Source organism: Homo sapiens, chromosome 15, assembly GCF_000001405.40.
Source record: "Homo sapiens chromosome 15, GRCh38.p14 Primary Assembly".
NCBI classification, from domain to species: Eukaryota; Metazoa; Chordata; class Mammalia; order Primates; family Hominidae; genus Homo; species Homo sapiens.
In genome coordinates this window covers 33,180,806-33,194,101 of record NC_000015.10, presented here as the reverse complement: position 1 = coordinate 33,194,101, position 13,296 = coordinate 33,180,806, and the positions used below count along the sequence as shown (strand labels likewise).

Genomic DNA, 13,296 nt, shown 5'->3' with positions numbered 1-13,296 from the left:
CTAGAAAGGTATCTGTTGCTGCTTTTTGCTTGTGTTTATAGATGACATTTACCATCACCGTTTTCTTCTTCTTTCATCATCATCATCATCACCATTGCCACTACCACCACCTCCAAGGCCACTACCACCACAGCATCTCTGTTCCTCCATCAGAGCTCTTCAAGTTCTGTAAAGGCAGATTCTCTAAAGGCATGTAAGTGCTGACGGATCCCCCAACCCCCTCCCCCACCACCAAATAACGAACAGTGCTCTTGCCCCCTGAGGCCAGAGCCAAGCCCTCATTTAACTCAAGAACAAGTAGCTGGGAGCAGAGTGTGAGCTGGGAGGATTTTCCTTATCCTCATTTGCAATTGAGATTGCCAAAGAAAACCCTTTATTTTAATCATCCACATTTCTGCTTGCTGTCTCCTGGAGAGTTCCATGTTAGCACTCACACACTCCGAATGGGCTGAATGCAGAGCCTGAACCTGTGATATATATGGGGAGTGGCAGTCACTGAGAGGTGAATGTCCAGACCCAATCCTTTAAGAAGACCAGGTGGAGTAGCAGACAACCTGACTTTCTGCTACAGTAGCTCCAGCTGTACTAAAGCATGTTTACTATTCATGTTTGCATATGGGACATGTGCCATCATCTGCTATGCCCCCTTGCGTGTGTATTGGCAGGGGGGCGGAGGGGCGCATCTAAATTCCTAGGAGAGAGAATTATATTCTGTTCTCTACACCAGGTAGCATCTTATAGGCACACCAATGGGATTCAACAGCCGTTGCTTAGCTGTTTCTAGGGCTTACTGCAAATCTCTTGGATCACAGACTTATTAACCCTTTTTTGGGAGGGAAAACAGTATAGCTGAGAATTGCATACCAGATTAACTGTCGTTGTGGAAGATGTTGCTTCCACAATGAATCAATGAGGTCTCGGGTCTTCTTGATCAGATATCTAAACACTAGTCTCCTTTCTCTCAACTGTGTTACAGTCCAGGAGCAGGACCAATGAATAGTTAGACATATTGCAGGAACAAAGAAGCAATGGCCTCAATGGAGGGAAACAATGGAGAAGAGTAGTGAGACAGTATATTGTAATGGCTAAACTCATAAACCTGTCAGACATAGGTTCAAATCCTGGACCAGCCACTGACTAGCTCAGTGATTTTTGCAAGTTGCTTGCCTCTTTAATTTTAATTTCTCGTCTGTAAAATAGGGATAATACTACCTGTCTCTTAGGAGAAGGTGTGAGGATTAAACGAGATAATATAGGTAAAATACTCAGTAGTTTCTGGCACATAAGTGGGGAATTTATAGTAACTGCTATTAATAATACTAGTCAAGAAGGATAATAAAGGCCAGTCTCGTTCCTAAAAATTATGCATTTTTTTCCATTGTCTTTATCCTTTTTAGGTGTCAGAGCTGATGCAAATGGGGTATGGTAGTCTTCAGGTTCCTTATAGCACTACATCTTAGAGGGGTGCCACTATTGAAGCCACCTGTGTTTGGACAGGCATTTCTCTCACCAGCCTTCACAAGTACTTAGCCGATTCTTAGTTGAGATACGTTAAAGATGCAGCTTTAGAGAAGATTTCCAGGCCTCTGGCCCTATTCTAGACTGCTTCTTTCTCACTGAGTGTTCAATGCATTGACTGTGATTGATGAAGCCTTTGTCACAGGCTTAACCCTGCCTAGACCAAATGCTTTGGCCAAGGGAATGGGGTCCCATAGGACCTATGATTGTCTAAGGGTAGGTCTCATATCCTGGTCATCCTCCCTTTCCAGACATAAAATTGGTGGAGCTGTTCCCAGAGGAAGAGGAATGGGGACAGACTGGAACTTGATGTGATGATGGTAAATATCCTTGATAGAAAATTGAGAAATGCTTCTCTCCTATCTCATATACCATGCCTCAAAGTCTAGTTTTACGTTAAAGTTTTGGATTCATGCACACCATCCCAAGCTGTGGTGTGCTTTAGATGATCTTGCCTTTAATGGTTTTCTTATTAAAACTTTATTCGTATCAGTGTAAAAGTTCATAATGGATATTTCATATCTTGCAGTGATGCTACTGGTTGGTAGTATGACCACGTTTAGGGGCTATTCATAATCTCTTTTTGGGACCTGGTTTTAAGAGTAGCTATTATTTTTAGATGTACATAGTCTCTGTCTTAAATATCAGCTTAATTCTCAACAGGTCCCAGCCTGTGTTGACAGAATTACAGCTGTTAATCTGATTTGCCTGATCTTGCAGAGACGCTAAACCATGGGAATTGTATTCTCCTGCAGCAAATATAAGCTTGCACCAACAGGCTGGCACTGTGAAGGAACTGAAGCATCTCTGTATTTAGTGTCTGTGCTGAAGTGCTGACAAAGCATCAACCCCATGCTCTGCAAAATAGTAATTACTAAAGCGGGGAGATGTAAAGAAGGAAACAAACCTCTTTACCTTGTCAGCGCATAAAAGCAAGGGTCTGAGAAATGGAGCATTCCCTCTCACTTATGTTTCTCAAGTTCCCTGGCTAAAAGTAAACAATCTCCCAGAGTAACCTGGATTTCTGTGCTTATCTACGCTTTCAGCAAATACTGCCTTAGTGCATGTTTGAGGATGAGGGAGAGAGAAGAGAGTTGGTCCTCCTTGTGGACATCCTTACCTCCCCACTGGCCTGAAATGACCATGATCTCTGTAATGCATCTCTCTAGGAAGCAGACTACTAGTTAAGTTTTTTTTTCTTTAACCAACACACCTCCTATTTCCTTAACTTGATACTGACTTGTTTTATGTTCCATCTTATTCGAACTATGCCTATCTCTTCCTTCTAAAGTGTCATAGGTCACTGCTAATGATGAACACCTTTCAAATGAAACGCTTTTTTACTGTGGTCTTCCACGTGACAGGCTATTGGGCAAAATATTTTGGAGGTAGCCAGGACTTTTTTTTTTTTTTTGAGATGGAGTCTCGCTCTGTTGCCCAGGCTGGAGTGCAGTGGCACGGTCTCAACACACTGCAAGCTCCGCCTCCCGGGTTCACGCCATTCTCCTGCTTCAGCCTCCTGAATAGCTGGGTCTACAGGTGCCCACCACCACGCCTGGCTAATTTTTTGTATTTTTAGTAGAGATGGGGTTTCACCGTGTTAGCCAGGATGGTCTTGATCTCCTGACCTTGTGATCTGCCTGCCTCGGCCTTCCAAAGTGCTGGGATTACAGGCGTGAGTTACCACGTCCGGCCAGCCAGGACTTTTTAACGTTCATGTTTGTCATCAGGATCTGGGCATTAATGGAGAAGTAGCAGGGACCGCCAGAATGCTGACTGGGAGGATAGACAAGGCTGTAAAAGTGGGGCAGGAGACACCTTTATGATGCTGCTGCCAGGATACTAGTACTCACACCCCTGCCACAGGCCTTCCAGTATGAGTGCTCTAGTTCATGTTTTTGTTAAAGAAGCTCAGAGAACATGATACGATCTGAAGACTAGTAGTCTAGAAATGCGTCAGACAGCAGTGCTTGTTGTTAAACACTCCTTTAGCCATAGTTGCCCTGTTTTTCCATTTTTCCCCCACGTGAGTATCTATCCACATTCATCTAGGCCTAGGTGCTTTCTCCAATGATGTCCTCCGTGAAACATAAGGAAAAATATGGACCTCTCAAAGAGAAAGAGAACTGTCTACTTATTAGGAGAAGCCCTCCCTGGTGATTCACTCACCATAGTAATTTTGGGAAACCTCATGGTTTCCAAAACCTTAATATTTGCACAAATGAAATTCAAATGAAATTGAATGAATGCCATCTTTTGAGCAGCACACAGGTGACTGTAGCACTGTCTCATGTTCTCTAAAATCTCTTCTTTAGAGTTTCAAGAACTCTTTTCAGTCTCTTCTCAGTAGAGAAGATAATACTTCTAAGTATTAAAGAGCAGGTTTTTTGCTCTTTGCTATTGTAAGGATTGCTGAGCCAGAATGGAGAAAGTATTTGGGAAGAATTGCTGCCACAGTGTTTAATGGTCTTCCTCCTCTGTGAGAATTACAACTGAGCAAACATTGTTATGTTTAAATGTGTTCAGTCCCCAAGAGGCAGTGAGTAAAATCTTTGTTACCATTTTCAAAGTGTGCATTGCTGCTTTGATCTCTTCACTGACCGAAAGCACATCCCTATGGTCTCAGCCCTGTGCGTCCTAATAAAGCTGATTTCTCACCGTTACACCAGGGAGTCCATGTAGTTTGTTGATGCTCTATTCTGAGAAAAATGTCCTCAAAGTCTATTCCAAGGGCAAGACTCAAGTGAGCATGAGTTGTATGTTTTCTCTGTGTCCATCCTTGGCTTAATACAGAAGACTTAAATTCCTTTCTTTGGTTATGTAATCTGCTGGTTCCTCTGTGAAGTAGGTAAATGATGCTGTACCTCTCCTACAGATGAGGAAATCAAGGATCATAGAGATTAATGTGTTTGCTTACGGGGCCGGCTCTCAATGGAATCTGGATAGTATGTACCTGCTAGGCTTGCATTCTATTTTCTATCTGTGCTCTAGTAAGCCTAAGCCACAGAGAACGTTCCTGGCTTTATCATGTTTTAAACTTACAAAGCAGGATAAACCATAAATAAAGTTCAGTATGCTGGGTATGAATATAGTGAAAAGCAAGAGTTGCTTTTTTAGGCATTAGAATTATTCTCCTTTCTCTTTTTAGATGAAGGCAGCCACTTCAGAAAATTTTCTAAGCCTAGCTCATATTTGGAGAGCTTTGCAAATAATTTTTTAAAAGCCCACAGTTCTGCAGAAAATGGATTTCATCTACAGAATTGGCATCAGTCCTGTCCTTGTTTGCCAATGTCCCCATCTCTCTTTATTTCTATTTCTATTGTAGCATCCTCTACCTTCTACTTACAGGAGACTAGCCGGGCTTTCCCTCTTTCCTACCCATCCAACCCCAAGTAAATATGAATAAAACATATCACACATAATGGAGGTACTGGCCTTGTGTTAAGATCACCCTCTGATTTATTTTCAACTGGTCCTAATTTTAACCTCCGAAAACAATTTAATTCTAATTTTCACGATATTTGAAGAACTGAAACTCCATGATACCACACCATCTTAAGGAAGACTGTGGTAGGTTGAAACAAAAAAACCTTAAAGTTTTTTCAAGCAGCAAGCAACAGTAACTCTTATGCCCAAATTTTCTCTTGTTAAGTGACAAGATATTTTTCTAGTTATACAGTGGAGAAAACTGAGATGGGAGATTAAAAGTGACTTGCCCAAGGTCACACACGGTCAGTGGCACAGCCAAGAATAGATCCAGGTCACCTGACTCCCTGGGCTTTGTTCATTACATCACTCAACTTCTCTTTAGGAAGTAACAGCCCTGCAGCCTACGAAAATGAAGGCAGTCAACTCTCAGACTCAGTTTCTAGGTCTTGACTTTTTTTTTTTCTTCATCTTTTGTTAAAATGTATCAATAGCTGCCACATTGCAGCACCATTAGCTAAATTCAGGAACTTAACAGAATTTATTAAGAAAAACAAAATTCTGATATCATAGTCACAAACTTGGCAAATGATAAAGCAAAAGGGAGACACAGCTGAAGACTCCAAAGTAGTTGTGCAGGGACCTTCTGCCTGAACCACATCTAAGAAGGAAGAAACACACAGAAGAGAGGAAAGGGAGATATAGTCTAAGACTATGTATAGAAAGGTATGACATGGACCCAGGGCAACAGCTTCAGGAACACTAAGGTCATGAATAACAAGAGGATTTGAAAAAAATGCTAACTCGACTTTTTTTTTGAGACAAAGTCTCCCTCTGTCGCCCAGGCTGGAGTGCAGCAGCATGATCTTGGCTCAACGCAACCTCTGCCTCCTGGGTTCAAGCAATTCTCCTGCCTCAGCTTCCTGAGTAGCTGGGATCACAGGCGTGCGCCACCACACCTGGCTGATTTTTTTTTTTTGCATTTTTAGTAGAGACAGGGTTTCACCATCTTGGCCAGGCTGGTCTCGAACTCCTGACCTTGTGATCTGCCCGCCTCGGCCTCCCAAAGTGCTGGGATTACAGGCATGAGCCACCGTGCCCGGCCAAAGTTGACTTTTTAAAAAGAGGGCTTTTAGCATTTCAATCAGTGCATGATGTACAAATCCAGCTGCTTGAAAAAGATGGGCCAAATTCACAGAGAGCAAGGAAGCAGAACTACTCAATTTTCATTTTACTCCTGTCATTTTCATTCAAGCCTTGCAGATAAGAGTCTCCATCTACAAAGACAGGTATATGAAAATTATCTCTTTATTTTTTAGAAACCATGTTCATTTCTATTTCAAGCCTTTTCTTTCTGGAAAAGTGGAAAACTTAACCTCAGTCCTTCTCAGTATTATACCACCCCCCAGAGTTGTGTCAAGGCTCCAGGGGACTGACAGTGCCACGGCATGGGAAGAGGGACCTTCTGGTCATTGAGGCATCAGAATGCATGGGTTACTCTGTAGCACCCAGTAATTCTGCTCTCCCAGCTCTCTCAGTTGTAGTCATCTGTGGCTGTGTCCCATTGGAGCTTGACCCACAGAATTCTTTTGTTGACATTTCCTATGGTTCCTACTTACCTAGATATAGCACGCAGGGCTCTAGGGTCTTGTGACCTCTCTGGGGACACTGCCAGGAAGTAGGGCCTGGGTGTCCTTCCTCCAGCATCCACAAGCCTCTTGCCTTCCTTTCCCAACAGCCCTGGGGAGATAATTCTTTTTTCAGGGTTCTTCAGGACTCTTTGTGTTGATAAATCTCACTCCTTTTTACATGCTTCAAGAAATTCCCTGTGTTCTAAGAGTTTAGAATTTTGAGAAACACAATCTAGGAATAATCACAGGCTATTTATCTTTTTCTCCTTACCACATACCTCTCCTGATGCAATGAATTCCAATTCTAATACCTGCCTTAGTGGGGGTTAAGCAAAGGGGAAAATACAAGGAGAAATAAAAGTAAACATAGATTAATATCAATGTTTCTGAATATTACTTTTTTTAGAAGTACAGCAATTGGGGATGTCTGCCTTGTTCATATCTACTTTCTTTTCTCTGGGAATGACCCCAATATATAGGTGTGGGGTCCCTGTAGACATGACTCTGTTCCTGGGCAGGACTAGTTAAACCAGGGATCTGGAAATCTGATCCAAGGTGGGCCAGATGGAATGTCTTCCCAAAACTGGAGTTTTGGGTTGAAGGACTGCATTGACTAAGAGTCACTGGAGTTAAGTCGCAGTAAGAGAAGTGCTCCAGGGAGATACCTGTGAGCCTGATGCAGGAGGCCACTGGAAGCCTCTGCTTTCTCTTCTTCCAACTCTTGGCCTTTCTACTCTTTCTCTGATTTTATGAAACTGCCCATGAATTTCATGAGATTCAATATGCTTCTCTTTTTGCTTAAGGTAGCCAAAATCAGTTTCATTTGCTCGCAACCAAGAGAAACTTAAGAATGGTCTTCAAATTTGCAAAGAAAGAAAAACATGATGAAGAGGAAACTGAAACTTAAGATAGGTGAAGAGATAGTAAGATAGAATCTGGCTATTTAAGATGTGTTTTTCTAATAATTTAAAGTGACAGTTGCAAGAACTGTATTTGTGATCCTGGCAAAACTTTCACTTTTATTTATTTTTTTTTTTGAGGAACATTTAAAACTGTCAGCACTGTTTTGTAGCAGGGTCACTGATAAACTAGAGAACAGTCAGAAATATGTAGGATTTTCGAGGCTAAACACTTTTCTATTTGAGGGCTTGCTGAAGGGCCTGGGATGGTTTACTCAGCATGAGAAAGTGTCTCAGGAAACATGATTGGTGGTCAGGTGTTTAAAGGGCCATTGGGCAGGAAAGGAGTTGGATATACTCACTGCAGCTCTGGAAGTGAGAAAAAAGCACCAATGAAAATAAATGAATGGAAATAGATTTTGACTTAGAAAAGGAGAGGTTTTTTTTTTTTTTTACATTTAGAGCTGTCTGGAAGGCCATGAGGCTTCCTTTTGGGGCACAGAACTCTTTGCAATAGAAGAGCTCAAGGTGAGACTGGAGAACCATTCACAAAGGTTGCATTGAAGGAGAGGGCCCAGCCTTGGGAAGGAGGTGGGATGAGATGAATAATGTCTAAGTTTTCTTTAAATCTAAGATTCCATCATTTTCCCTATGACTATTATTAACTTGTAGACTAGAAATTCCAACCTGCATTTTTATAGAATTCAATAGGCATGAAAGCATTTCATGAATATAATTTATAAAAAACTTCTTCCTGACTAGGCACAGGGGCTCATGCCTATAATCCCAGCTCTTTGGGAGGCCGAGGTGAGAGGATCACCTGAGGTCAGGAGTTCGAGACCAGCCTGGCCAACATGGTGAAACCCTGTCTCTACTAAAAATACAAAATTAGCTGGGTGTGGTGGCACGTGCCTGTAATCCCAGCTAACTGGGAGGCTGAGGCAGGAGAATCGCTTGAACCTGGAAGGCAGAGGTTGCAGTGAGCCAAGATCATGCCACTGCACTCCAGCCTGGGCAACAAGAGTGAAACTCTGTGTAAAAAAAAAAAAAAAAAAAAAATTCTTACTTTATTAAAAAAAAATTACTACAAATTTTCATTGAAATAAGACTTCTCTAAAAAGTAAAGGAAACAAAAATTTACTTTCTATTCTCTAAATTGGAATTAACGGTAATTAAAATTTTCACAGGCAGTGTTTTACTCAAATAGAAAACACCTTCTATAATATTAATATAATAATACAAAACCCAGAGAATACTGAATTTCTACAGGAAACAATAGATTCCTTGAATTATTTTAAGGAACCAATAGGACTACCAACTTTTCTCCCAAACTTTTCCCAAATAAATGAAAAAAGATATTGCCATGGCACCTAAACAGGTGGCTCAGGTATTTTATTGACAACCTCCAAAACATTACGACTATGCAACTGTTGTGTATTTTAAATTATTATTCTTAACTTGGGGTTGAGAACTGGATTACTCTAGTTTGTCACTTACCACAGCAAGCAGATGCTAACCTTCAATAATCATGCTTTAAACAAGAAGGACAAGGAAATCCACTTAGTTTGAAAATCCTGAACTTAATGACCCCATTAGACATAGTCTGGTATCGTGAAGCTTTTCATAATCTCTCTTCATGTAAAAACCTTTAACAATATAAGCACACATATAACGTAGCATATTCATCAGCTCTTCATTTACTTAAGTGGATTACATTTATAAAGAGCATTCAAAAGAATACAGTCTTTTCCGCTTTGTAAACTGGATTCTCAAGTAATTTTAAGGATACGATTTGCAACATAAGTAAAAAAAGGTCTAAATTATAGCTGGGCGCGGTGGTTCTTACCTGTAATCCCAGCATTTTGGGAGGCCGAGGTGGGCAGATCACTTGAGGTCAGGAGTTTGAGACCAGCCTGGCCAACATGGCGTAAACCCATCTCTACTAAAAATATGAAAATTAGCTGAGTGTGGTGGCGCCCGCCTGTAATCCCAGCTGCTTGAGAGGCTGAGGCACAAGAATTGCTTGAACCCGGGAGGCGGAGGTTGCAGTGAGCTGAGACTGTGCCACTGCATTTCAGCCTGGGTGAAGAAGGAGTGCGATTCTGTCTCAGGGAAAAAAAAAAAAGAAAAAAAAAAGATCTAAATTAAAAGGGAAGAAATTTACTTATGGATGTACAGTCTGATATAAATTTTTTAAAATCATTTTTGAAATGTGGAAAAGAAGAAAATAACAATGATCTATATTCCTACCAGGAAGAATTAACTATATCTTGCCATATTTTTTCTTTAGAAAGAGTAGGAAATACTTTTTTAAAAAATGATGTATGTTGGTTTCAAGAATTCATATAAGGCATTACGTTACAAAGATAAATTTTAAAAATCTCAAATACTATCATTCCAATTGTTAACCTTAGGTAATATCATTTCAGACAGCTGTCTGTCTGTCTCTCTATGAATCTACCTGCATGGATGTTTAGGTAGAAATGCTTTTATAAAAATGAATAGAGATGCTGTTTATAACGAAAACAATACATTAGTTTTTCTTGAATTTCAAGCAATAAAAAGAAACTGAATTGAAACTAAAAGAATGGTGAAACCAATAAGTTTACCTTATTTCAAGATATATCCTTGAGATACATATATTTTTTAAAAGTTTCTCTGGCCAAAAAAAAATCATGAAGTTAAAGTCATTGTGATTATATTGCTGTTTTTATAAATTAGTGTCTTCTTTAGACAGTATCAGTTGACTTTCTTTCTTGAAAGAGTAACACTTTTGAAACATCCTCCCCACCCTTTCTCCCCACCTCCTGAGTATTAGATGTGTTATTATTTCTATATTATTCAGGTTATAACATTCCATTTTGTCCTGAGAATATTTTGAAAGTTATTTAGTAGTAACTCTATGCTTAAATGAATTTAGTGCATACAACCTCTGGGTATGCTATTTTTGTACTTTGCTTTCAATTCTTCCTACTGTTTGATAAATGTCAACCCACCAATTTGAAACAGTCATTCATAATCCCCACTACTTTGGGTGTATGAAATTATGTAACCCATTATTACTAATTCACTGAAATGTTATTGAGTGTCTACTCGGTGCTAGGCATGATTAAACTATAGAAATTCGATGTTGAGTAACACACAGTCTCTGTCCTCAAGAAGTAAGAGCAATCAACATATATTAAATTTCTCATGTGTTAGCTCCATGAGAGACATTTTGGTATTTCTCTATCCTCAGTGTCCATCGTAAGGACTGGCATTCCACAGGCCCTCAAATAATACTTGTTTAATTGAATGAGCATTTATGTGCCACTTACTGTGGTAAGTGCATTAAAAGTTCTATCTAATTTTATCTTGACAACAACCTATTAGGTAGGCATTTGTTTTCTCCATTTTATAAATGAGGAAGCTGAGTCTCAGTAAGTAATATCCTAAAGTTATACAACAGGGTTTGATTGTAAGTCATTCTCTTTTCATGACAGCAGGCCTTGGTCATTTATGGTGGAAGTAATAGAGGAAAGAGGCACGTGAGCTGCTGATTATAACACAGTGGTGTAAGTCATAGGACAGTGTATTTAAGGTCTAGAGGGGAAGAGGCTGCTTGGTATTGAATCTTCATTCTATCATTTATTAGTTTTCTGACACTGAGCAAGCCCCTTCGCTGCTCTAAGCCCCAGTTTCCTGTCTGTAAAAAGTGGTTAACAATGGGGAAATTAAATGAAATAATTCAGGCAAAATGTTTATCATAATCCCTGCCACAAGTGCTCAAGTAATAGTAGCTGTTAATGCTATTTTTACAGAGTGCTTTAGATGCTCAAAAAAAGGAATAAATTTTTTTCCTCCTGGATTTCCAGGGTGGGTGACATTTGTGGTTGGGCTCTGTTGAACACATAGGAATTCATCCAGTGAGAGGTAGATGGCGCCTGGGCAGAAAGAGAAGCATGAAACCTGGAAGGAGAGATCCCGCTGAGATGCATGGTATCTGCATCACCCTATGTAACTCCTAACACTTCCTTCCTTCACTTGTATACTTCGAGGGTGTCCAAACAGGAGTATCTGTGTTTAGAGAGGCTGACTTGAAAATAGACCATTTTATCTGACTGGACCATCTTCCCACTGAGTAGGTGAATTAGTCAGTGTCTGTACAGAGCTGAAGAAATGTGAGGTGATAGGGCAGGTTGAGGGCGATTAGTCAAGGAGGCCAGGGGCCATTCCAGGCCAGCTTAAGAGCAATGGATGGCCCTAAAAATGAGCCTACAGCCTGCCTGAGATTCTAGAACAGTGTTTCTCAAACATTTTTTTCATTATCCCTGCTTTATGCATGAGAAGAGTAAGATTTTCACCCATTTCTAAGAACCCACTTGAATGAGCCAGACTTCAGAGGACCTCTCAGGTAAGTTGCTTTCTTAGCTGACCCTAGACTTGAAGGCTCCTGCTGCTGTTACAAAAAGCCACTTTTTATTATGCTTTCAGTTGTACTTCCAATGATTCCAGCTAGAAAAATAATCTTGCCTACTACACTAACCTCCCGACTGGCTTCTCTCTGCTTCCAGATGTACCCTTTCACAATCTATTTTCCATAGAGCAGTCTGAGTGACCTTTTAAGAATATAATCACGGGCCGGGTATGGTGGCTTATGCCTGTAATCCCAGCACTTTGGGAGGCCGAGGCAGGTAGATCACCTGAGGTCAGGAGTTCGAGAGCAGCCTGGCTAACATGGTGAAACCCTGTCTCTACTAAAAATACAAAAAATTAGCCAGGCATGGTGGCAGGCATCTGTAATCCCAGCTACTCAGGAGGCTGAGGAAGGAGAATCGCTTTAACCTGAGAGGCAGAGGTTGCAGTGAGCTGAGATCACGCCATTGCACTCCAGCCTGAGCAACGAGAGGGAAACTCCATCTCAAAAAAAAAAAAAAAAAAGAAAGAAAAAAGAAAAGAAAAGAATATAATCAGATCTTGTCTCTCCGCAATGCAAAACTCTCCAATAACTTTCCATTGAACTTAGAATAAAATTTGGACTCTATATCACAGCCCCGAAAGCCTCCCTGATCTGACTCCTACCTGTTGCTCTAATCTCATCTGATACCATCCTGTGTGCTGGGGAAGGTGCTTCCACGTGCAGTAAGAAAGCCATCGGGCAGAAAGTCACAGGTGTTTGCAGCGAGCAGCTTTTGTGTGTGGAGGTCATGTCAAGAGTATATGGTGGGCGCCAACAGCAGTGGCTGCAGCTCCCAAAGGGCATGGAAGAGGATTTGTCTGCTCGGAAGAGGCAGGAGAGACATCTCAGAAAAAGTGACAGTTATGGAGCTACTATATGAAAACAGTTTAGGAGTAAAATGATCTGAAAAATTTTTAGAAGTAAAACTATGTGAAAGAGAGATGGGTATCATATTCCATGCAGGAGGAACATCATGCAAGGAACCCTTATAGCAGAAGGGAGTGGCCTCATGTGAGCCCCCAAAAGGAAACTGGCTGTGATGTGATGCAAAAATTAAGCTGGAAAAATCAACAGGGGCCTGACCACACGGAGCCTTTCAGGCCATGATAAGGGCTAAAATCTGCCTTAAGAGCAGGAGAGGCCGGGCATGGTGGCTCATGCCTGTAATCCCAGCACTTTGGGAGGCCAAGGGTGATGGATCACTTGAGGTCAGGAGTTCAAGACAAGCCTGGACAACATGGTGAAGCCCCCTCTTTACTAAAAGTACCAAAATTAGCTGAGCGTGGTAGCACTTGGCCTGTAATCCCAGCTACTCAGGAGGCTGAGGCCGATGAATGGCTGAAACCCTGGAGGGGGAGGTTGCAGTGAGCCGTGATCATACCAC

The 13,296-nt window shown here is 41.1% G+C and overlaps 1 protein-coding gene across 9 annotated transcripts in view, besides 1 other annotated feature; it reads left to right on the top strand.

The window, feature by feature from the left end:
- The window catches only part of FMN1 (formin 1), a 429,171-nt gene that overhangs the window by 613 nt on the left and 415,262 nt on the right, over positions 1–13,296 (top strand). For 5 of the 9 annotated variants that reach the window (XM_047432436.1, XM_047432437.1, XM_011521505.3 and 2 more), the window contains exon 1: positions 176–193. Coding sequence is in view for 1 of the 9 variants with exons in the window: in XM_011521509.4 (XP_011519811.1) it covers positions 42–193 (152 nt within the window). In the remaining 8 variants the exon portion in view is untranslated. Of the gene's footprint in view, positions 1–41; positions 194–1,769; positions 1,839–13,296 lie in introns of those variants that run through there. The other 4 variants (XM_011521509.4, NM_001277313.2, NM_001277314.2 and 1 more) reach the window with 2 other exon arrangements.
- Positions 5,309–5,368: a silencer, noted in NCBI's record as "silent region_6269". NCBI's record gives its function as "represses an Ori minimal core promoter by ATAC-STARR-seq in GM12878 lymphoblastoid cells {active_cell/tissue: GM12878}" and the evidence as "EXISTENCE:reporter gene assay evidence [ECO:0000049][PMID:35858748]".